This window comes from Homo sapiens, chromosome 5, assembly GCF_000001405.40.
Source record: "Homo sapiens chromosome 5, GRCh38.p14 Primary Assembly".
NCBI classification, from domain to species: domain Eukaryota; kingdom Metazoa; phylum Chordata; class Mammalia; order Primates; family Hominidae; genus Homo; species Homo sapiens.
Window position 1 is genome coordinate 115,200,256 of NC_000005.10, and position 24,590 is coordinate 115,224,845.

Sequence of the window (24,590 nt, forward strand, 5' to 3'; positions counted from 1 at the left end):
AACTTTTTTTTTTTTTTTTTTTACAAGGGAGGAAAATCCAGTCCTGCCACTTCATCTTGGTTGGAAGTAGAAGTTCCACTACAGTCTTTGAAGTAAAGCTATGACATCATGCCAGTCCAAATTCTGAATGTTTCTAAAAATATGAGAAAATTTTCTTATATAATAGAAATGACTATAACAGCTAACAATTAAAAACAATTCTTTAATACCTAATAGCTAGGTCATATTTACATTTTCTTAATTATCTCAAAAGTGTTTCAAAAGTTGGTTCAAATTAGGACCCAAAGTCAACATGTTGTATTTGACTGCTGTGTCTCTTACATTTTTAGAACAGTCTACCTTTACTCCCCTCCATTTCTTTGTCATTAAGTCGTTGAAGAAACCAGACTTGTCTTTAGCATATCTGCCTTTAGGATATGGCTGATTGCTTCCTCATGGTGTCATTTTACTTGTTCCCATTTCACTTATTAGATCTAGACCAAATTTGTCAAACCCACAGCCTGCGAGCTGCATGCAGCCCAGGATGGCTTTGAATGTGGCTCAACACAAATTCATAAACTTTCTTAAAACACTGAGATTTTTTTTTCTAGGTCATCAGCTATCATTAGTATCAGTATATTTTATGTGTGGGCCAAGACAGTTCTTCCAATGTGGCCCTGGCAAGCCAAAGATTGGACATCCCTGATCTAGATGTTAGATCTATCAGACTGACTAGATTCAGTCTCAACTTTCTGATAAGGATATTTTATAGATGACCTTGTGTACCTCACATTGCATTATAGCAGGAGGCATGCAATGTCTTGAGTCACTTTTAGAGATGGCAGCATTGATCAGTGGATTCAGGTGGTGGCAGCTTGAGCCTTCCACTTTTAAGTTCTCCATCAACCTTTCTCCTGATGGTTTCAGTATCCATTGATTGTTGTAGCCTAAAAATCTATTAGCATTTGTGAGATAGTTATTTTCTAACCCCATTATTGCTTCTCCATTTATGAACTGAGACTTTTTGAAAAAGGAAACTTCCCTTATCATTAGGATGATTTGTTTTCCCTGCAGATGCAGTTTCTTTAAAACGAGCAATATAATTTTTTTTTTAAGAGAAATGAGTTGATGCTGTATCGTGTGTGTGTGTGTGTGTGTGTGTGTGTGTGTGTGTGTGTAAAACATTGCCCTGCCAAAACCAAAAGTGAGTCAATCCTGCAGTCTTCATGCTCTTTTCCTGATTTCCAGAATGAGCCTCACCTTCTCCAGCAGCAGCAGCAGTAGCAATGGAGAACTTGCTGTGGCTACCCATTCCGGCCTCATGCAACTCTAGTTGGAAAGTTCTTTATAGTTCTTAAATATGAGTTCATTTATTAATTCCTTTATTCAACAAATACTATTAGTTGTGCATGCTAAACGTTTTGAGAAGTCCAGTTACTGATGAAGCCAAAGTGTGGCCATGGAAGGATGTACAATTAAGATTAACCTGTAATCTTCACCTGCTCTCTCAAAAGCCACCTCAAATACACAATAAATAAGAAGTACAGTTATATGCAAATCACCTTCATGGCAAGCCCTCTAAGCTTCACTTTCTTACTGATGGCCACCCCTAAGCCCCTCCTAAACAGGAATTCTAAAGTTGCCACTGAATGTAAACCTTCTTCCAGAGAACAGACCTTTATATATTTGAATGTGAAAAATATGGTCTATTTCTCCTTGCCCTCCTGGAAAGCCTGATCTTCTCTGACCTTTTTAATGTGTGGCACCTTGAACCTATTGTGGTACCCGGACAGTGCAGAGGACAGTGGTATCATCACCCTCTTCATTTTAGCTACCCTACTTCTATTAATTTGGCAGGGATACTAAATTTGAAAAATTTGAATGTGCATTTTACCTCTGCATTTCCCATTCCATCAGAGGCATTCATTTACCTTAAGAGGTTTAGAATATTACAGCAAGGATAAAGTGAGGAAATATGCAGCTTCTGAGTTTGCAGCAAAACAAGAATCATAGTCAGACTTTGTCACTTGAGAAAGGATTTTTTAAGTTTCTTAAACTCCAATTAAAATGAAAATCAGTAGTAGAGAGAACTCAGGAAATGGAGAAAAAGGAAGAAGGGAAATTCTCCTACTCCCACCCCTGGAAAGTGTGGGAAGGATGAAAGATGGGAAAAGGAGAGGATATGTGTGGAAGTAACAAGGTCTAGACAGGCATGAAGGAAACTAAGAACATAGAGGCTGGTGGCCTGCCAGTGCTGCCCTTAGATCTGGGCAAGAGGGTCTCCTGCACTTAAGAGGATGCCATTCTGGTGCTTCTGTCCATAAGGTAAGGAATCAGTGGGGCCCCTTTCTAGACTCTGCCCCACATACCAGAGAAACTGGAATTCCCTATCTCAGTCCACTTACAGAACCTGCATGGGCTTCTTCCCTGGGTCATTTTTGATTAGGCTGCCAAAGTATGTGGACCCCTAGGTCCAAGGTATGATGAAGGAGCAGTTTGGGGGAGCTGGAGGTAATATGGAGCTCAGACAAAGGGGTTAGGATTCCTTCACAAATGTAAGGGAGCTCTCAAAGCATGGAAGGGGTTCTGGGATGGGAGTACAAGGGCCAGCAGTGTGCTGGGAACTTTATAAGGCCAAGATTTCTAAATGGGAACCTGGCCTTCTAACTTCCAGTTCCTTTAAAGCACCCGAAAGGGTGATGTCGGTGGGGGCTGGAGGCTGGGCACATATTGTTGAGTGAAGATTGCCTGAGTCGGGCTGGGTGGAGTAAAAAGAAGCCTGTGCTCAGATGGAGAGGGTGCAGGTGGACAGAGAAGACTAAGCAGGAGAGAAGGGACCAAACCACTGCTCCCTCTATAAGAAGAGAAAGCATATGTTTATCTTGTGGATATGCCCAGTGACTGTAGGGAGCCAGGGCTGGCAAGTCAACAAGCCAGGGAGAAATCTCTTCCCTTTGTCTACTCTGCTCCAGCCCAGCAGCAGCCACTGCCAAATCATGGCCTAGAGTGGAAAATGCAGTAAATTTTGAATTTGTGCTATTCACAGTTATTTGATATGATTTGCTATTTTTTCAATTGTCATTATGAAGATATATTTGCCAACCTAAAAATATAGAACATAAGAATTTGCTAGTTTTATTTGTAACTTAAAAATTAAAATTTAGACATGGTAATGTGGGGTGGCCTTGTGACCTGCTTCTCCAGGCATAGCCTAGAAAAGGCTGTGTGCGGTCCTAAAAGAATCAGACTTTTGGCTTATCTATCCAGAGTGTCCAGGTAGCATTAAGGTGGGAAGGGAGGTAGCTATAGGAAGAGGAGACAGTGTTCGGGCATAAACAAGATCTAAGAGTTTCTGCATTTGCCAGATAGCAAATGTGCATGGGGAGGGGAAGTGGGGGAGAGCAGAGGATACCGACATGGAGTCACTAAGATCCGTTGGATAGAAAGAGGCCTGGGACCGGAGTGAAGAGGCCACAGAATTGAAATCAGAGGCAAACAGTAACCCACCTCAAAAGGCCACACTAGCAGCAGACACCTCAGTAGGCACCAGTCCAGGGACCAGACCAGAGCAGCAGTGTGCAACAGAGACCCTCCCATGCCCCACAAAGACTCATACATACCCAGACAGCAAGGAGCAGGAAAAAAAGACACTGCTGAAATCGGAAGAGACTGAGATTGTTAGCTAACACATTCAAATGGCCCTTTTCCTTAGCCTCCCCCCATCCCTTAATAGCCAAAGATATGGGTAAATAAAAATGAAATCCATTTGAGAAAACGTTTTCTTTGCATATCTGAGTATTTATTATGTTTTCGATCCAGCTACCACACACTAAAATCATATTAGTTTTTCGGGGGTAGGAGTAAAGATCACATTGTTGAATTATAAAGAGCTTACTGTTAAGAATCCTATCTTTTTAAAATATAAATTTGCAAATAATCAACTGTTTCTACCCAAGCTGCTTTTTCTCTATCAGTGATTGGTTCTCAACTTTGAATGTGCATTGAAACCACTTGGAGGGCTTGTTTAAAACACAAATGTCTAACCCTACCCCCAGAGTTTCTAATTCAGGAGGTCTAAGGTACCGCCAGAGAATCTGCACTTTCTAACGAGTACCCAGGTGATGCTAGTGTTTCCATCTGTAGACAACATTTGGAAAACTAGTGCTCTAAGTCCTGCTTTAGTGGAGAGACATTATTCTGATTTCACTCTCAAAGGCATACAGTTGGCATTAATTCATACAGCACATATAAAGAATTAACCTCCCCCCAAACTTATTAGAACTTGATTTCCACACATTATCAATAACGGAATACCATTTTCACCCACCTAGAATGAAAAAACTTTAAGCTTGATAAAATCCGGTGTCACAAAGGATATGAGGAAACAGGCACTCTCATACCTTGTTGTTGAGTTTATGAATGGCTACACTGTTTCTGGATGGCAATTCTTGGCAGTAACTACCAATATTTTTAAAGCATAAATCCTTTAGTCCAGGAAATTCTTTCTAGGAACACCATAAAAATAAATAAGTGAATAAATGAATGATGTTCATAGCAACGTTTATGAGCTGTAAGTAACCTAAGTTTCTCTTAATATGATAAATATTAAAATATATCCAGTCATAAAAGTGAAAAGCATCTTCTGATTATTTCCACAAGTTAACCACTGAATAACTGTCTACAGTATGTTCTGTAGTAGAAAAAAGATACTCTGTAACAGAATCTCATTTGTGGGTGTTCTAGTGTGGTACTCAATTGCTGAAACTTAAATGACAAGATGAAAATCCATTAACAGGCTAGCATACTACTTAGTTGCACTTTATCAAATCGATTTTAGTGATTGTTTTCCTTCAATCTTTAGAGATTTCATAAAGCTCTACCAAACTCCTTGACTTGCTCATGTAGAATTAAATGAGAGGGAAATTGGCTTTGAGCCTAAATTCATAATCTTTTACTTTTTCACAATTTCTCCAGTGAATTGTATGTCTTTCATGATCCCACCTATACTTTAAGAAAACTTTTTGACTCACAAGTAGATGCAAACATACATGAGTGAGGTCCCATGTACCAATCACCAACTGCTTTAATGAGGACACCTTATATGCTGGTAGTGCATTACCAGTTGGTTCAGGGAATCCCACATACAATTTTAATGGCCACCCTTAATTTAGTTAGAGCCTCAAGATATTTAATGAAAAGTTTGAACAAACATGGAAAAACATGGAAAGAAGAGGGTGGAGAATGATCACCTCAGTTAAAAAAATGTGGCATAAAAAGAATGTTATTTCTGGAGACAGAAAACATGCACTCTAGTTACAGTACTGCTACTAACTGTTAAAGCTTTATCTTGTGTGAGTTAATTCATATTTGGAATTCAGATTTATAATTCGTAAATGAGTTTGAGGAACGAAGCCACAAAGGTCTTTTCTAATGCCACAATTATTACAAGTAGACAGTTTTACTATCAGAAACCCATTTTCTGATCATATTTAAAATCTTAGTGTCAAGATAAAAGTGTGCATTAGTACAACCTTCTTAAAAAGCAGCTTGGCAAAAACAAAAACATCAAATTTAAATTGTGCACACTTTTTGCCCCAGTAATTCCTTATCTATAAATTTAAAGAAACATGCAAATGGGCAATTATACATTTTCAAGGATCTCACAGCAATATTTTTGTAGTTGTGAAAAATAAGGCACTGATTAATCAGTGCCTCATTTGCCATTAAAATGGTAAAAAGTGCAATTACTTATGCACTGACCTAATATGTTTATGCAACGTGATACTATGCAACTATTAAAGTATGGCTATTGAAAGGCATTCATAATACATTGTTGAATGAAAAAAAACCATGGAATATTTAGTACCTCAGATCTTTATGTATAGTATACATACATATATCTATTTGTATAAGTATATATTGTATTGGGATGAGTAATACTTAAATGTTCAGATATTTAAAGAATATTCTCTATTTCTATATCTCTATATACAGAGATTAAAGGTCTGAAAGATGTATGCAACAGTGGTGTTTACCTCCAGGAAGTATAGGCTGTGGGTATAGTATAGGCTGGGATGGGGAGAGAACTATCATTTTTCTTTAAATTATAAAACTAAATGACCATTTTAAAAAAAGGTTCAAAGTGAAATAAGCTATATATTTTTTAAAATTGTAAATATCTGAATAATTAAGCACCAGTAATCTCAATAGCACTTACTTAAAAGTTCATTTTCTCACTAACTTGAGATGCTGCCTTTACTGTATTCTAAATGCCACTGAGTCTATTTCTGGAATTCCTCTTCTGTTCCATTGGACTTCCTATTTATGTGCCAATACAAAACTTTTCATTTATTCAACATTACGAATGCCTTCCAATATCCATACTTTAACAGTTGCATAGTATTGAGTTACATAAATGTATCATAATGTGTCTTATTTTTCACAATTACAAAAATGTGGCTGTGAGATCCTTGAAAATGTATCATTGCCTATTTGCATGTTTCTTTATGCTAAATCTATAGATAGAGAGTATCTGGGCCAAAAAGTGTGCACACTTTAAAAAATTCTGATAGCTTCTGCCATGGAGGATTTAGAGTATGTTTTAGTGTCGGATATGGCTGGTCCCCTCTAATTCTTTTCAGTTTCCATGGTTATTCTAGTATGTTCTCTCAAATAACAATATAATTTTTATTGGAATGGCACTGAATTTATAAATGAACCTAAGTGGGGAAAGACATGTTTTGATGTTGTCTATCTAAGAATATCATGTATCTTTCCATTTGGTGGAATCTACATTTTTGCCTCTCAAGAGTTTTTTTAGTTTTCCTCATACAGATTTTAGATGTGTCTTAAATTTACACATTAAGTTTTCTTTTTACTTTTGCTATCACAAAGGTGGTCTTCTCTTCAAGTATCTTCTAACTAGTTTAGGTTTGCATATACATACATATATATATATATATATATATATATAGTCTTGTTACTCTTTTTAGTAAACATTTTTACTGAGCTATAATTATACATACAGAAAAGTGCACAAATCATATACAGCTTGATAAATATTCATAAGGTGAATGCACCTACGTAACCAGCACCTAGATCATGAAACAGAACATTACCAGCACCGCAGAGTCTCCCTTGTACCCTCTTTCAGTCCTACTGAGTTAAAGCCAGTTGAAAAATAATGTATACTATATGGTTCCACTCATATAAAATTCAAAAACAGACAAAACTAATTGATGGTAATTTTGACAGCACTTACCTTTGGGAAGAGAGGTAGTGACTGAAAGAGGGTGCTGATTTCTGACACCATACATAGATGCTGTCTGTTTTGAACTTCACCGAAATGGAATCAAAGTATGCACTTGTGTCTGGTGAAGCCTACTGATATTTTTATGTAAATTGTATTTAATAGCTACTTTACTAAGTTCTTTTATTGTTTAGTTTTTCAACAAGTTCCTTTGGGCTTTCTAGATACATATTCATATCTGCAAATAGTTTTACCTCTTCCTTTCCAATTCACGTCTTTATTTTGTCTAACTTCATTGGCTATAACTCTCAACACATTGTTAAGTAGCAGAGGAGTTAGTGGGCATGTCTTGTTCCTGACTTCAGCTGGAAAGTCTCCTTTGCTTTGAAATTTAAGATGCTGGCTTTTAGGTAGAGGTACAATGTTAATAGATTATTCATCAATTTCTACTTAGTATAGTTAACATAAGTGAGTGCTCAATTCTATCATGTCTTTTCTGCAAAGATGAAGATATTTTTTAACTCTTAATATGAATAGTAACAGATTATCTAGTATTGAACTACCCTTGCATTCTTACAATAAACCCAACTTAGTCATGATTACCTTTTGAAAGTGCTGTTGGATTGTTTGCTAATGTTATCATTAAAACTTTTTATTAATATTCATGAGATTGCTCTATATTTTCTTTTTGGTACCATCTTTGTCAGGTTTTTGAATCAATGCTATTACATTCATTTTATAAAATGAATTCAGGAGTTTTTCTTTATTTGTTTTTTTTCTTTTTTTGGCACTTTGAGGTTCAAGATTCTTTTCCTAGTCTCTGCAATTGTTTAAGCAAGAATGGGATTATTTAATCTTAAAAGGTTTGGTAGAAATCCCCTTGAAACAATCTGGGCTTGATGCTTCTTTTGGTAAGGGGTACTTTTAACTATTTGTTTCTTCTACGGTAATTGGTTTGTTGTGACTTTATCTACCTAGAGTAAATTTTGGCAATTTGCATTTTTCTCAAAATAGTTTTTGAATTTATTGTGTAAAATTGCTCAAAATAGTCAATTTAAACAAATTTCCTGTTTTACTATTTCCCCCTTGTCATTTAAATTTTTGTATTTGTGCTTCCTCCTTTTTTTCTTAAATAGGTTAGCTGGTAGTTTATCTGACTCAACTCCCCGCACTACCCATCACCAACTTGGATTTATTATTGCCTCTATTGTTTTGGTTTTCTACTAGTAATTCTTTTTTGCTTTTATTAATTCCTTCCTTCTGCTTTATTTTGCTTTTTACTCCAAGTGTTTGGTACTTGGTTAATTTTCCCCTTTTCCTACTTTTATTGATAACTGTACTAATTAATATAAATTTCCTGTCATATTTGCATTTTATTTTTTGGCAAATATTAGGTTTTTATCTGTCTTGTGGTCATGTCCTTCCGGTGTGCTTTCATTGTCTGTGAGGATGTTGATCTATTTATTCTCTTATTTCTTATACTAACTTTGACTGGAGTTGGACTGTAATCCTGGCTCACTTACTCTTTTTTTCCCCTTAACTGAAATGAGTTTTTCTGTACTTTTAGGAGGAAGGAGTGGCTCTAGGATGACTTCACAGCCTTAGAGCTCCCATTTTCACAGTGATTTAAAAGAATATATATATATATGAAAATACACATATATAATGTCTCTGTGTCTTGGCCTTTCTTCCCAATACTTATCTAGATCTTCTTTCCTTTGTCCTATTTTACCCATCCTGCCCATTTGGATTCTAATTCTAGAAGTTTGTCCTCAGTGCTGGGCTTTGTCTCATAAGCTTCAAGAGGTACACAGCGTAAAACCCAGACAGCTCTAATGCAATCAGCAGACCTTATCATATTGCTTTAACATTCATCTGCAAATGAGATTCTGTAGTCACTTCCCAGTTTCAGTGTCTGTTCTTAGATTGGCCCGCTGCACTTTGTAGTTGAGAAACTGTGGGCAGTGTTGTAGTTCTCCAATTTGCAGAGCTGTCAGAAACCAGCTGCCTTCCTTCTACTTCCTCCCACAGATACTGAAACTATGTGGTTCAGTGGTTTGTCCTCACTTAGTTGTATTTTGAAGTTCATAGAGATACCTTGTCATCTAGCGTTGTAATAGTGTCTGTGGCTATCCTAGTTGCTCTGTATTCTTATGGGGAGATTAGAAAACAACACTGTTGTCATCATTTTCCCTGAGGTTAAACTGTTAAGACCTCTTTCTGTTGTAGAAGAGAGGTTTTAATTACAAAAATAATTTTATGATCATTATAAAGAACCTATAATTTGAAATTTGCTGTATTCCAGGTACTATCCTAAGTGCTTTATCTGTATTATCTCATTTAATCCTAAACCCTGTGTGTTAGGTTTTACCCTTATTTTATCCACGGCAGAGTTAGGGTCCAAGATCATGCTGCTGAACTGGCAAATCTGGGATTTAAACCCAGGTCATCTGATTCCAGAGCACCTCCTCATTAACTGTCTCTCAAAAATGATCAGGTCCAACAGTTTTCAAATTATATACCACTGTCAGCAAGATTTCTATATGAATTTAGATTAAATATAAATAACTAAAGATCTAATAACACATATATATTATAGATCAAATCTAAAAACACTGAAATGATAAACAGGTTAAATTAGGCCATATGATCTGATTAATCTCATTTGTACACAGATGCTCAAAATAAAGCTCCTCCTCCTACCTTCTAAAAAAAAAATGCCACAAAATTAGGGGGCGGGAAGGAGACAAGTATAGAGTAGGTAACAGAGCTTTTTGAGATTTCGGACTTCGTATTTTCCCTCATTACATCGCTCCTGTTAAGGAATAAAGTGTATATGTGAAATATTGCTTATAATTTATTTAATCGATAAATGCTTTTCTTGTAAATAACTATTTAGAAAAGTTAGAAATAGTTTCTCCACAATTCACACTGGGCTGCTATTTTCTGGTCAATTCAGTTGCTGTGGAATGTGAACATTTACTAGTCCATAAAGTTTCACAAGAAAGTCTCCCACAAGTGTATCAATTAGAAGCATACTAAAATTTATAATCTTATGGTATTAAATTATCAGGAGTTAGAAAATATTTAGCCTTATGAAATACTTTTAGATTGGAATTTTTCTCTAACATTTATGAATAAAATCACTGTTACTACCTTTATTGCCTTCTAACCTTTCTTGGTGATACAGAAAAAACAATTTGGGCTTTTTATATAGTCCTAAAGCCATTATATATATGCTACTTTAACTTCCAATGTCTAAGAGATGACTTAGTTTGAGATATGGATGTCTTAATCTGCCAGGATTTAAATAGTAGCAACTGGAATAACCCATAGACGGATAACATCTGTTATTAAGCTTACTTTTTCCCCCACCATCAGAAGATTTATTTTATTTCTAATTAAAAAACATACAGTTGGCAAACTCAGGTTTAAAACTAAGCATGCCAATAATAAATCAATCATTTCTCCAAGTACACAGTGTTTCCCTTGGGAAGGACTGTTATTTCACAACATTTTTTTCCCTCTGATTTAGAAAAAAAGATAACATTTAAAGTATTACAATGCCTAAACAGTGATACCAGTAATCCAGTTTTTATACTGATACTTGTATTTCAACATTTATTATCACCAAGACTAACTTAAAGCCAACTCCTTTAGTGAAGAGATTTCTTTCCCCATTTCAGTACTAGACGCAATAGTTCTGAATGTCACTGAGCAAGTAACGGATATGAGTTATTGATAAATTAATTACTAATGAAGAGTTTTTATACTACCTCCTTTATAATTAGCTAGTTCATAGACTTAAAACAAAACAATGAACAAAAACAAAACCCTATTTCTTACCCTCTAAATGGTCGCATTTCCCTTTCACTTACCTGAAAATATGAGAATAAAAATGACCATGTATTGAGTTACACCACTGAATCTGTTTGAATGGTTCTGTTTTTGTATTTTTTACTTATTTAATTTGAAAAAAATTAGAAAAGTATTAGTTTGAAATTAGAGCAGCTAACACACTGGGGGCAATAAATTAAAAACTTCAAATGGCTAAAAATGAAAACACAAAGTATCTTTCCTTCTAGATAAAAAAGATTGTTTTCTTCCTAGAAAGCAAAAAAAAAAAAAAAAAAAAAAAGGCAACTAATGATTTGAGAATAAAATCAAACATAACTGGTATTCACCACAGCAATGTCTAGATAAATGACCCACATAGCACAAAACTTTCTCATTCACAATCACATACAGTTAAGTTGCTTTTCCCTCAGTTACATAATAGTTGTCTTCAAACAATCTCCTTTTAGAAAACTATCACATTAGTTAAACCTATTTATTCTTACTATGAAGTTATTAACTTCATTTATATAGGCCACACAGGTTTAATTGGCACACTTTACTTAAGAATAAGACAAAATAAGTCACTCTTCTTTAAAAAAAATTATGGTCATCTGTTTTCAAAGAATAATCCCAGATACTTAATTAATTAAAGCAAATTTTCTACGATCAGCAGTGAGCTTTTTAAATGATCACTAAGTGTTCACCTGAAGATTATCAATGCTATATGAAGTGTAAACTTGAAAATTTGTGTCCATTTTATAATAAGATACAATTTGCACTGAAGAGTTTTTAAAAAGATAACCTACACACATACAGTTAATTTGCCTCAAACAACTTCTTAGAAATACAGTATAAACATTTAAGAACCACGACAAAGTTGTGGTTCAAACTTCAACAAAGATTTTCTTGAAACCCAGTATAAAGATTACTGGCTCAAGACCATATCCCAAAGTGAAATCAGCAGGAGATTTGATTGTAAGACTCTACCTTTTAAAAAAAGAGCACACTTGGTTATACATGGCTTTTAAACTTGAGCTACAGTTATGCTACAAATCCCCCCACCCTCCCAATCTAAAATCAGTCATGTGGAGATATGTACATTCTCTGAGCATTGTTTAGAGTCCTTGGTTTTCCAGCTTTGATGGAGATCTAGAAGGCGTTCAGAAGTCCGTGTGCTTACATTCAGAGCAGGATGAACTTTACAAATTCCACTTTCCTCCATTAGTGACAGGCCACAGATCCCAAAGTATGCATGCAAAGCATCTGAAAAGAAGGCATTTAAAACATCATAATAGGCATTCTTACTTGTACATTCTACAGAATATTTTAGCCACATATTTACCAGCCCATCACTCCATTAAAAGTAAGTTTAGAGAAATGCTAATATAGTTTTAAAAATATTTGCTTTCTCAAAGCCTCAAACACCAATTAAAAAAAAAACTCAGATGATCAAAATAAAATATTTTATTCATGAAAATATCATTAACAAAGGAAAACAGTTTCCAGCTGAAGAGCTGATACTGTCCATAACCTCTGTGATTAAAAGACAGGAGTAGCAGCAGTCATATGTAAGACTTCTCACTTTGGGGAGTTTCCCCTCTTGCTTACTAGAGAACATGAAAACGAGTAGCTTCAATGCTATATCATTAAGTTTTTTTTTCTTTAAAACGAAAACAAAACTCTGAATCTAAGTTGCAATATCCCTCGCTCCACGTTTTACCTCTGAAAGTTCCTAAACCATATGCAGTACTATCCTAACATTGTGTTAAATAAAAGGAGCTTATGCAAAAATAATCCATTCTGGAATGCTGTGCCATATTTAATCCTCCTATTTAGGGTAATGTCAGTCATTGTAAAAATATCTGATCTGACAATAAAAACAAACTCACATTCTATTTGGTTGAAATAATATGAGTGCTCATACCATGACAATTCTGCACTGGCTCACTAGTTTCCCATCTTTCAGGGGGCAGCGATCCTCTTCTATTAAAGTGGCCAATGAAATCACATGGCCATTCCTGCCTAGGAGTCTTATGTAGACTTCTGAAGAGCTCAGAGCTTTGCAGTTATAGGAACATTAAAAAGACAGTTTTGTACCAGTCAAAATTTTTTTCTATTTTTGAATTGGCCGACATTTATGGCCTTAAGAGCTATTAAAGTTCAAAACAGGCTGGGTGTGGTGGCTCACACCTGTAATCCCAGCACTTTGGGAGGCCGAGAAGGGCATATTCCTTGAGCCACAGGAGTTCGATACCAGCCTGGGCAATACGGTGAAGCTCCATCTCTACAAAAAATACAAAAATTACCAGGTATGGTGGCGTGCGCCTGTAGTTCCGGCTACTCGGGAGGCTGAGGTGGGAGGCTCACCTGAGCCTAGGGAGGTTGAGGCTGCAGTGAGGCATGATTATATCACTGCACTCTAGCCTGGGCAAAATAATGAAACCCTGTCTCAAAACAACAACAACAAAAAGTTCAACACATCTTACCACATCAAACTTTGTCAAAAGAGTTAAAGAAAAAGCTTTACTTACAACAGTATCACTTATTTTTCAAAACAGAAATGACAAATAGCTGTGCTTACTCAATGCCATTGTGAAAATGTTATTTAACTAATGGAGGCCCATGTTGATCACCTTTTAGGCCTTTTCAGAAAATACTTAGGTTTCTTCTGGCTCACTTTCCTTTGACTTTCAGACTATAAAAAATAAACTTGATTTCACCTGTCATATTACATCCATATAGTTATTCTAAAACTACAAAGGGTACAAAGCAACATTAAGCTTTGTTTTCTAGAAACTAGGAAACTTTTCTAGGAAAAAGTACAACAGAAAATATATATCTATAATAACATAAAATAGAACTGTGTAAAACTAAAATCTCTCTGGGTAAAGTAACAAATAAAACTTATTTGTTTCTCAAAAAGATTTTTGTAACAGCCAATGAGATCAGAACTCAATTGTTTGAAGCCTCAAATTGTGTTTTTAAAAAAACTCCTTATCTGTAAGTGGCAACGTACAAGCACTTTAGATGTGGAACTATATGTTTACTCCATAATAAAGCACTTTAGATGTTGAAATATATATTTACTCCACAATAAAAGGTTATTCTTTTGAAGTTTCTTTCATAAATGTATATAAAATCCCTTTGTATCAAATTTGCCACTAAATTCACTAGAATGAAGAATAAGCTTAATTTTAAAGAATCTTGTTAAAATGATTAAAGATTCTGGGACCAGATCTTTACACATAAATTCAATTTAGCAAAGCCCTTCTATGCTTTCTATTGCATACTCTGAAAACATTGTAATGTATCTGTAAAAAGTAAGTAGTACATCCAAATATTTACACAAATGTTAAAGTTAGCAACTGAACTCTCCGGAAAAAGCCTCAAGAACTTTCTTTTAAAAAAGCTATTGGAAACACTGAATGTATTTCAAGTATGTTTATACAAGAAATGTTTCCTAAGAGACTGTCATTTCCCTACTCCCATTATTTGTTAAAACAGTACCCTGCACTGGTTTAAAAAATGGAATGAAGACCAAAATAATTCTCAGTTTTGAGGCACTAGAGATATCAAAAATTTCAAGATATTATTTTGCTTGAGAAATTAACTTCTGAAGACACACTTTGGCTTACGACTTTGAAAGCAATGTACACTTTCTCTAAGAAGACATGTTTTACTACTGATTGATTGATTGAGACAGAGTCTCGCTCTGTCGCCCAGGCTGGAGTGCAATGGTGAGATCTTGGCTCACTGCAACCTCCACCTCCTGGGTTCAAGCAATTCTCCTGCCTCAGCCTCCTGAGTAGCTGGGACTACAGGTGTGCACCACCATGCCTGGCTATTTTTGTATTTTTGGTAGAGACGGGGTCTCGCCATATTGACCAGGCTGGTCTTCAACTCCTGACTTCAAGTGATTCACCAGCATCAGCCTCCCAAAGCTGGGATTACAGGCGTGAGCCACTGCACCCGGCCATTTATTTTATTTTATTTTTTGAGATGTACTCTTGCTCTGTTGCCCAGGCTGGAGTGCAGTGGTGTGACCTTGGCTCACTGCAACCTCTGCCTCCCAGGTTCAGGCAATTCTTCTGCCCCAGCCTCCCAAGTAGTTGGGATTACAGGCACCCACCACCACGCCTGGCTAATTATTGTATTTTTAGTAGAGGCAATGTTTCACCATGTGGCCAGGCTAGTCTCAAACTCCTTGCCTCAAGTGATCCGCCCACCTCAGCCTCCCAAACTGTTGGGATTACAGGCGTGAGCCAAAACTCCTGGCCTAGGAAGCATGTTTTATATGAAAATATAGGCAAGTAGGGGTGTAAGGAAATATTCCTGCTCATTTCAAATACAAAAATTGATTTCATGAGCTCCTTATTTATATTCTGATTCAATCACACATTCCAACCACAGCAGTTCTGTGATGGAAGATGAGTTGATGAGGCACTTTCCAGGCTGATAATAAAAACCACGACTCTATTGCAATACTGGCAAAAACAATCATTCCTTGTGTCTAGTTTCATATTTGTAACTAATTCTTTAACTACTTGCTTATCAAAAGTGTCAGTGTTTGAAATTATTTCAAAACACACTTAAATGGATTTTTATAGGGAAGCTGTATATAGACTCATTTTGCTGGAGGTGAAAACATATGTCGGGTGAGGTGTAGGCTGCAGAATGATGCTAGAGGTGGGAGAGGAGCCAAATTTTGGAAGGGCCTTGAGTGCCATGCCATTTATATTGTCTGAATCTGTTGAAATTTGGAGAACAAGAGTATGGGAAGTGAGAAACACATATATTCAGGATTTGAAATATTTTATTTAATGACTTTTTTTTTTGAGACAAAGAGTCTCGCTCTGTCACACAGGCTGGAGGGCAGTGGTGCAATCTCGGCTCACTGGAACCTCTGCTTCCTGGGTTTAAGTGACTCTCCTGCCTCAGACTCCCGCATAGCTGGGACTACAGGCACGCATCACCACACCTGGCTGATTTTTGTATTTTTAGTAGAGTCGGGGTTTCAACACGTTGGCCAGGCTGGTCTTGAACTCCTGACCTCAAGTGATCCACCTGCCTTGACCTCCCAAAGTGTTGGGGTTACAGGCATGAGCCACTGTGCCCGGCCTATTTAATGACTTCTGAAAAGAGTAAGAACTGATTCCCTTCAGGATTGGGAGTAATTTATTATACTTAGTTCAAGTCATGACTAATAATCCTAACGGCTTTGGATGGCCTAAATAATTCTCTTCTTTGGAAAGGACCCATTCAGACCATCTACATTATTGCTGCAAATGAAATAAAACATTACTAAGTAAAATATTTGGGAAAAAATGCACACTATTCCCATGCATCTTGATAATAAACTCTTTCATTTATACTCTCTAATACCCTAAATTTATCCTAAGCTTACACAATATACCTTTTAAAAAATATTATTTAATGTAACTTTGCAACTGGATATATTTTCTATCATATGCCTTTTCTGATAAAGATGCTTGAAGATCTATTCAGGAAATAAAGGTTGTTCTGATTCACAAAGAAAATAATTACCTGGATGACTGTCTGGCCACTTGGCAAATCCCCCTACAAGGCGATCTTGAGTTGATAAGATGTAATTTCTATTTTTCTCAAAGTTAGTGTATTGGAAAATTTTTAGAAGCTGAAATGACATGACAAATAAAAATTTACTGACATAAAACTCATATCAACCTTTGGCTCAAATTTCAGATACGTGTCATTTAGATATGCTTTTCTTTAGCTAAGGTGCTCAGACCAAGTCTCTGGGGCCTTGAGCACTTTTGAAATGAGTAAATCACATTAACTTTTTAATTTTCTTATCAAATCTACTCTCCTTTTCTCGACTCTCTATTTCCTTCTTCTGAACCAGGCCAACTGAACCCTTTAAATCACATTAAGCTAAATTCAAAAGACAACTCGAATCCACTCAACATAATCAGTCATTTTAAAAAGTACAATTTTATCTACCCATATTTTAACTCTTATGATAAGCTCTTGAGCTATTAGTTATAAACTAGTAGTAACTGGAATTAAAAATATTTTTTAAAAAAAGAGCAAACAAAAATTACTAACCAGATGCTACAGACAGTTTTGAAAATAGTAAAAAAGTATAGCTCTTTAATTAGGAAAGAAAAAGGTAAGACAAAAATGATTGCAACATAAAAAACTATATAGTTTTTAATGATTTAGGACATGTACTTGGCTTTTCTCTCAAGACCCCATAAAAGTAAAATACAAATAAATAAATAATACTGTGAAGTTCAAGATGAGGTGCACAGTAGGTAAGAGGGTTCAAGACATTTCTGATGATACAAAGCAATTTAATATATGTTAATGAACCAGAGAGAGCCACAGCTTTTAGTGACTAATGAAGAAGCATTATTTCTCAAAAAGAAAAGCTAAACTCATAAGAAAGTTATGGTACAAACAGGAAACAAATTTATTCATTTACATTGATTTAATTAATAAAATATAAGGAAAAAGACTTTTTTGAATCTTGATGTTAGGAATATTTTCCATCAGTGGCACACTGGTCATTACATAAAAATGAAAAAATTATAATAGTAACACTGCACTTGGCTTAGCAATAAACAATATTTTCACTATCCCATAATAAGTGTTGATTACTGGTTTTTAAATTTTAGAATCAACCTATAGGCAAAGGCTGAAAGATGTGATTATTAATATTGAACAAATATATGAATGTGTCCTAACTTAACATTATAAAAATAAAGGTAACCTTATATAGCATTGGAAGGTAGAAGATGAGGAAAATATTCAGAACTAACTATAACGGGTAACAATTTGTTGGAAAAGTGAGAGGCTAAATCTTAATTTCTCATAGTTGGGAATCATCAATAATGTCTAAAGGTGATAAGAAGTCAGTCTGTGATTTAAAGTTATGGTAATGTCCACAAGAATTAAAACATTTTTAAAAAGTTTAAAAGTGGTTGCCTTCAGAAAGCTGTCAAAGACTACTGACGTCAAATAAAAAAGACTTGGGACAACTTGAAAGGGTTCTTATAGACTAAAGATAGGACAATTTAAGCATTATATGTGTGTGTGTATATATATATATATATGTCATATATAACTAATATATATTATATATAATATATGACTAAAAAATGTTAAAATCTATGTGTTCACAATGATTCTCAAAAAAAAAAAAAAAAAACCCAAACTCTAAAATCTAATATTTTATTGGAAAGGCTGAGGGGATGGTAGGGAACCAACTCATTTTGTTGAACACTATTAAGGGAAAGAATTCAGTATTTATCTGTCCTTCTCTGTACAAAGTATATCTCAGGGTAAGGTAAAATTCTTCTTTAAAAAACAATGCTAGTTAATAAATTGAGAAGGAATGAAAGAATACCACTGTTTTGTAACCTCTTAATGCCATAATTGATTTAAGCAATGATCCTTAATGCCTGTTAAAACTATTCCATAAAAAGTTGGTAGTTACTATAGACTAGCAATGAACAATCCAAAAGGAAATTAAGAAAGCAATTTCATTTACAAGAGCATCTGAAATGATTAAATACTGAGAATTTAATCTTAACAAAAAGGTGAAAGATTTGTATGTTGAAAACTACAAAACATTGCTGAAAGAAATTGAAGACCACCTATATAAATGGAAAAGCATCCTGTGCTCATGGATAGGAACACTCAACAGTGTCAAGATATCACTACTACCCAAAGGGATCTACAGATTCAATGCAATTCCCATCAAAATTTCAAAAGACTTTTTTGCAGAAATGGGAAAGTCAATTACCAGATTCATATCAAATTGCAAGGGGCTCCAAATAGCCAAAACAATCTTGAAAAAGAAAAGTTGGAAGTCTCAAACTTCTTGACTTTGAAACTTACTACAAAGCTACAGTAATTAAAACAGTATAGTACTGGCACAAGGGCAGCCATATAAAACAACAGAATAAAATAAGACGTCCAGAAACAAACCTCACATATATATAGTCAACTGACTTTTGACAAGGGTGCCAAAACCATTTCATGGAAAAGGACAGTCTTTTCAACAAATGGTGCTAGGAAAATTAGATATCCACATGTCAAAGAATGAGGTTGGATCTTACCTTACATTACATAAAATAATTAACTCAAAATTGATGAAAGGCCCAACATTAAGGCCTGAAACCATAAAATTATTAGAAGAAAACACTGGGGAAAATCTTTACGACCGTGGATTCAGCAATAATTTTATGGACATGACACCAATAACACAATCAATAAAAGAAAAATTTTGATAAAATTGTACTGCATCAAAAAACTTTTGTGCGTTAAAGGACACCATCAACAGAGTAAAAAGGCAACTCAAGGAATGAGAAAATATTTGCAAATCATATATCTGAGAAGGGATTAATATCCAGAATATATGAACTCCCACAACTTTATAACAAAAGAAACCAGATTTAAAAATAGGCAAAGGGTTTGAATAGATATATCTCCCAAGAAGATATACAAATGACCAATAAGTACACAGAAAGACACTCAATATCATTAGAAAAAAGCAAATCAAAACCACAATGAAATGACACTTCAGATCCATTAGGATGGCTATTATATTAATATATATACATAAAAACAAACAGAAAAAACAAATGTTGGTGAGGATGTAGAGAAAATGGAACTCTCATACATTGCTAGAGGGAATACAAAATGTTGTAGCTGCTGTGGAAAAGTTTGGCATTTCCTCAAAAAGTTAAATGAAGAACTACCATATGACCCAGCAATTCCACTCCTATATACATACAGTACCCCTGAAAAATGAAAGCACGGACTTGAACATATATTTATACACCCATGTTTTTAGCAGTATTATTTGCAATAGCCAAAAGGTGAAAACAACGCAAGTGACTATCAACAGATAAATGAAGAAGGAAAACGTGGTATTCATATACAATGGAATATTATTATTCAGCCATTAAAAAATTAAATTTTGATATATGCCATGTCATAAATAAACCCTGAAACCATTATGCTAAGTGAAATAAGCCAGAAACAGAAGGACAAATATTGTATGATTTCACCTATATGAGGTACCTAGAATAGACAAATTCATAGTGACAGAGAGCAGAGGAGAGGTTACCAGGCTGAGGGGAAAGAAGAATAGGGAATTACTGTTTAATGTATACAGGATTTATGTTGGGTATAATGAAAAAGTTTTGCATGGTAGTGACGATTACACAACATTGTAAATGGAATTAATGCTAGTGAACTGTATACTTACAAATGTTTAAACTGTTAGTATAATGTGCTATGTATATTTTCAACTGTGGAGCTCTTTGATTAAAAGGAGAGATAATTGGATATTACATGCCTCTTGATGTGATACAATAGGAAATATACGTGATACAACAGGAAATCACTGGATATTTAATGATAATAAGAAATTATGGCTAATTGTTTAGATGTGATAATGACACTAAGGTTCTGTTTTTTTTAAAAAGTTATTTTCATTTAGAGATTATATTAAAAAATTTCCAGAGAATATAAAAAATGATATATGGGATCTGCTTTAAAATAATTCAGTGAATTGAAGGGAATTAGAGTATGGATGAAGAAAGGGTAGCTTTCGGTTGATAATTGTTGAGACTGGTTGATGGACACATGGGTGTTATTATACCTTTCTCTTTGCTTTTGAATATGCTTGAAATTTCCCACAGTCCAAAAAAATTGAAATGCACCTGAGAAATGGTACTACAAGTGAGGAGAGACAGGGAGACTACTGTCATCATTTTAAACCATTCTTTTCCAAATTTTTTTCAACCTTATACATAAATTTTAAGAGAAAAAATTAGGATATTATGGAGAAGACAAACATGGACTCCTCTAACAGACTCCTGTTACATGGCAGAATATCAGAACAAGGTAACAATTCTTAAAGATGAAAAGGCAACTTTAAGACAGAGAAAACTTGTGTGTATTTAGTGACTAAATAACCTTACGGAATTAGGTATATTAAAAGGTAGTAGAGATGGGAAAAAATGTGCTGGCATGTCAATTGATGAGTTTCAGAAGGTTTAAACAAATAAATAATAAAAAAGTCCTTACATGGTTTTTGAAGAAATGACCCATGGTTTGTCTTTTAAGATTAATACCTTCCCATAAAACCTTTACTGCTATCATTTTCAGACAGATCCCTGATTTATATGAACTAGTCAGTTCCAACTTTTTTATTACCTTATACCCACAAGAAAGTAAGTATTTAATATGTTCTATGTAAGGTTTTAAGTAGGCATAAAACTCAAGTTCTGGGTTACTTGAGTTTTCCAAGAATGAAAATTTTCAAGCAGCACAAGAGATCACTGATTTCTATGGAAAAACCATACAGAGACTAGCTTTGGCAGAGCAAAAGAGAAAATCCAGTAGCCTAAACCTAACAATATTTAATACACATTACAAAGATCAAACCTTTTTAGCACAATCTATATGAACACAGAATATAGGTTTCTCATTTTTTATTATTTCTCTTACCTTCAGAGTTGCTCCCACCCAAAAAGAATAACAGGTGTCTACAGGCTTATTAGGTCTTCCATGATAACCATTTTGTTGCCTCATTATACACCACCTCTTTATCCTGTTCAATTCTTTTTCTGAAAAAACTTCTTCTAGTTTACCCATCAGACATAGTGAGGCAATGCCACAAAAAGTTGATCCTCCTGTTAATCAAAACCACACAACGTTTTAAACTTCAAATTAGATGCTTATGAAAATAGTACAAAATGTTCAAGGGGAAAAAGTGGTTATATAATTCTAGAAAATAGTGAAATAAAATTTAAATTTAAAAGATGAGATTTTAAAATAACCACTAAACACAAGTCTTCAATATTTGTTAAAACAGAGAATATAAAGCTATAAGAAACATTTTACTTATGAAAAAAAGTAAGACTTGGAACAAGATTAAGGAACTTGTTTAAAATTACATGGTTAACAGCAGATTTGGAACTAAAGTCCGGGACTGCTAACTCCCTGCCCAGGACCCAATCACCTGAGACTGATTTTTAACTCTCTTAAAGACAGTATATTGCTTATGAATTGAGGCTCCATCAACCCTAAGCTACAAACAAGTTTTCACAAATAAGATAAACAAGTTAGAAGCTGATATACAGATACTACAACTAGTCAGCTTAAGAATTTTAAGGAAGTAGTTTACAGTCCCACCAACAGTGTAAAGGTGTTCCTATTTACTAGTTCAACCATTGTGGAAGACAGTGTGGTGATTTTTCAAGGATCTAGAACTAGAAATACCATTTGACCCAGCGATCCCATTACTGGGTATATACCCAAAGGATTATAAATCATGCTGCTATAAAGACACATGTACACATATGTTTATTGTGGCACTATTCACAATAGCAAAGACTTGGAATCAACCCAAACATCCATCAATGATAGACTGGATTAAGAAAATGCACACACCATGGAATACTATGTAGCCATAAAAACGGATGAGTTCACGTCCTTTGTAGGGACACGGATGAAGCTGGAAACCACCATTCTGAGCAAACTATCGCAAGGACAGAAAACCAAACACCGCATGTTCTCACTCATAGGTGGGAACTGAACAATGAGAACACCTGGACACAGGGTGGGGAACATCACACACCGGGGCCTGTTGTGGGGTGGGAGGAGTGGGGAAGGATAGCATTAGGAGAAATACCTAATGTAAATGATGAGTTAATGGGTGCAGCACACCAACATGGCACATGTATACATATGTAACAAACCTGCACGTTGTGCACATGTACCCTAGAACTTAAAGTATAAAAAAAAAAAAGAATTTTAAGGAAGAAAAGAATGGTGGGGGATGGGGGCGGTAGGAAAGAGGGAAACCAAATATGAAAGCAGATGCACAGCATTACTTCAAAACGTATCCATACCCACTGCGTAGGCTGAATAATGCCTCCCCAATATTTAAGTCCTAATCCCTGGAACCTGTGAATGTTACTTTATACGGAGAAAGAGGCTTTGCAAATGTGATTAAGTTAAACGATCTTGAAATGGGGAGATTATTCGGTATTATCTGGGTGGGCCCTAATTGTACTCACAAGTGCCATTATAAGAGGAGAGAAGGAGATTAGACTAACAGAGAGGGGGTGGCAATGCAACTATGGTGCCAGAGATTTGAGTGTTGTAGCCAATGGTAAGGAATGCCAGCAGCCACTAGAAGCTGGGAAGAGTCAAGGGACAGATTCTCCTCTGGAGACACTGTTGGCGAAAGGAGCCGGCCCTGCTGACATCTTGATTTTAGCCCTGTAAGTCTCAGTTCAGACTTAGTTACAGATGTACAGCTCTGGCCGGAAATGGAGAGGATAAATTTGTGCTGCTTTACACCCCTATATTTGTGCTAAAATGTTATGGCAGCGATAGAAAACTAATACACTCACAAAGGTACTTTCCTCAGGAAATGAAAAGTCAGTATTTTTCCATATAAGAAAACAAACAACACTTTTTACTGGCACTATTTGTTGTCAACTCCAAATAATTTGAAAATACTTATACTTGCAATTTATTATGACTTCACCTAGTGATTTTTATTAATTTCAGCAATTTAAATGCCTTGTTCCTAATACATCTCATGCCTTAACTTTCCTTTCAGTGTTACAAATCTTGAATGTATTCTCTGGCAAAGGAAAGGTGAGCATTCCCTCTAGAAAACTCAAGGTAGTTATCATATTAGAAGTGTTACTGTCAGTTAAGAACTATTTAATCTTCAGAATTAGTTGGGACATCTATGTTAGTCTTGAGTGAATCAAAAGAAAAGCTAAAAAAATTATTACAACCTTTTAAAATAATTTCTATTAAGCAACTAGTAATCTTATTTCCTTTTCAAATGACTCACTAGTTCCAATTTTTCTTTCATGATAACCAAGCCATGACTTCAAGTTTTATTACATCATTAAATATAAAGTCTCTAATAGACAGTAAGTAACCTTTCAAACTCCCGAAAAGTAAAAAGAGGCAATTAAGGATTACTCCTCAAACTACTTATTAGGATTACTTAATGCAAACTGGCACAACTCAAAGAAAAACACTCTTTACTTTGTCCAAACTACTGGATTTTGAACATAGTAACTCCAGAAGTAAGTTTGGACTCTGGATTGCCAGAAACATTTACAAAGTCTATGCTTTAACATTCATTTACCAACAGGTAAGCCTGTTGCTCCTAAAGTCTCTTGTTTTACACAAATCTCTAAAAAACTAGTTATAAAACCCTGTATAAAAACTAGTATGTTAGGCTGGGCATGGTGGCTCATGCCTGTAAATCCCACCACTTTGGGAGGCCAAAGTGAGAGAACTGCTTGAGCTCAGGAGTTCGAGACCAGCCTGGGCAACATAAGGAGACCCTGTCTCTACAAAAAAATATTTTTAAAATTGGCCAGGCATGGTGGTGTGCACCTGTGGTCCTAGCAACTCAGAAGGTGGAAGTAGGACGATCCCTTGACTGCACCCCAGCCTGGGCGACAGAGAGAGACTATGTCTCAAAAAAAAAAAA

General features: G+C 35.2%; 1 protein-coding gene across 4 annotated transcripts in view, besides 1 other annotated feature; it reads right to left on the minus strand.

Moving 5' to 3' along the window:
- Positions 1-3,756: 3,756 nt before the first annotated feature.
- Positions 3,757-24,590, minus strand: part of PGGT1B (protein geranylgeranyltransferase type I subunit beta) — a 58,866-nt gene continuing 38,032 nt past the window's right edge. The window contains exons 7-10 of one of the 4 annotated variants that reach the window (XM_011543490.3): positions 21,569-21,753; positions 16,610-16,718; positions 12,165-12,328; positions 3,757-4,484 (exon numbers count right to left, since the gene is read on the minus strand). In XM_011543490.3, coding sequence (XP_011541792.1) covers positions 4,374-4,484; positions 12,165-12,328; positions 16,610-16,718; positions 21,569-21,753 — 569 coding nt within the window. In that variant the 3' untranslated portion in view covers positions 3,757-4,373. Of the gene's footprint in view, positions 12,329-16,609; positions 16,719-21,537; positions 21,754-24,590 lie in introns of those variants that run through there. The other 3 variants (XM_005272020.4, NM_005023.4, XM_047417314.1) reach the window with 3 other exon arrangements.
- Positions 9,004-9,113: a silencer, noted in NCBI's record as "silent region_16247". NCBI's record gives its function as "represses an Ori minimal core promoter by ATAC-STARR-seq in GM12878 lymphoblastoid cells {active_cell/tissue: GM12878}" and the evidence as "EXISTENCE:reporter gene assay evidence [ECO:0000049][PMID:35858748]".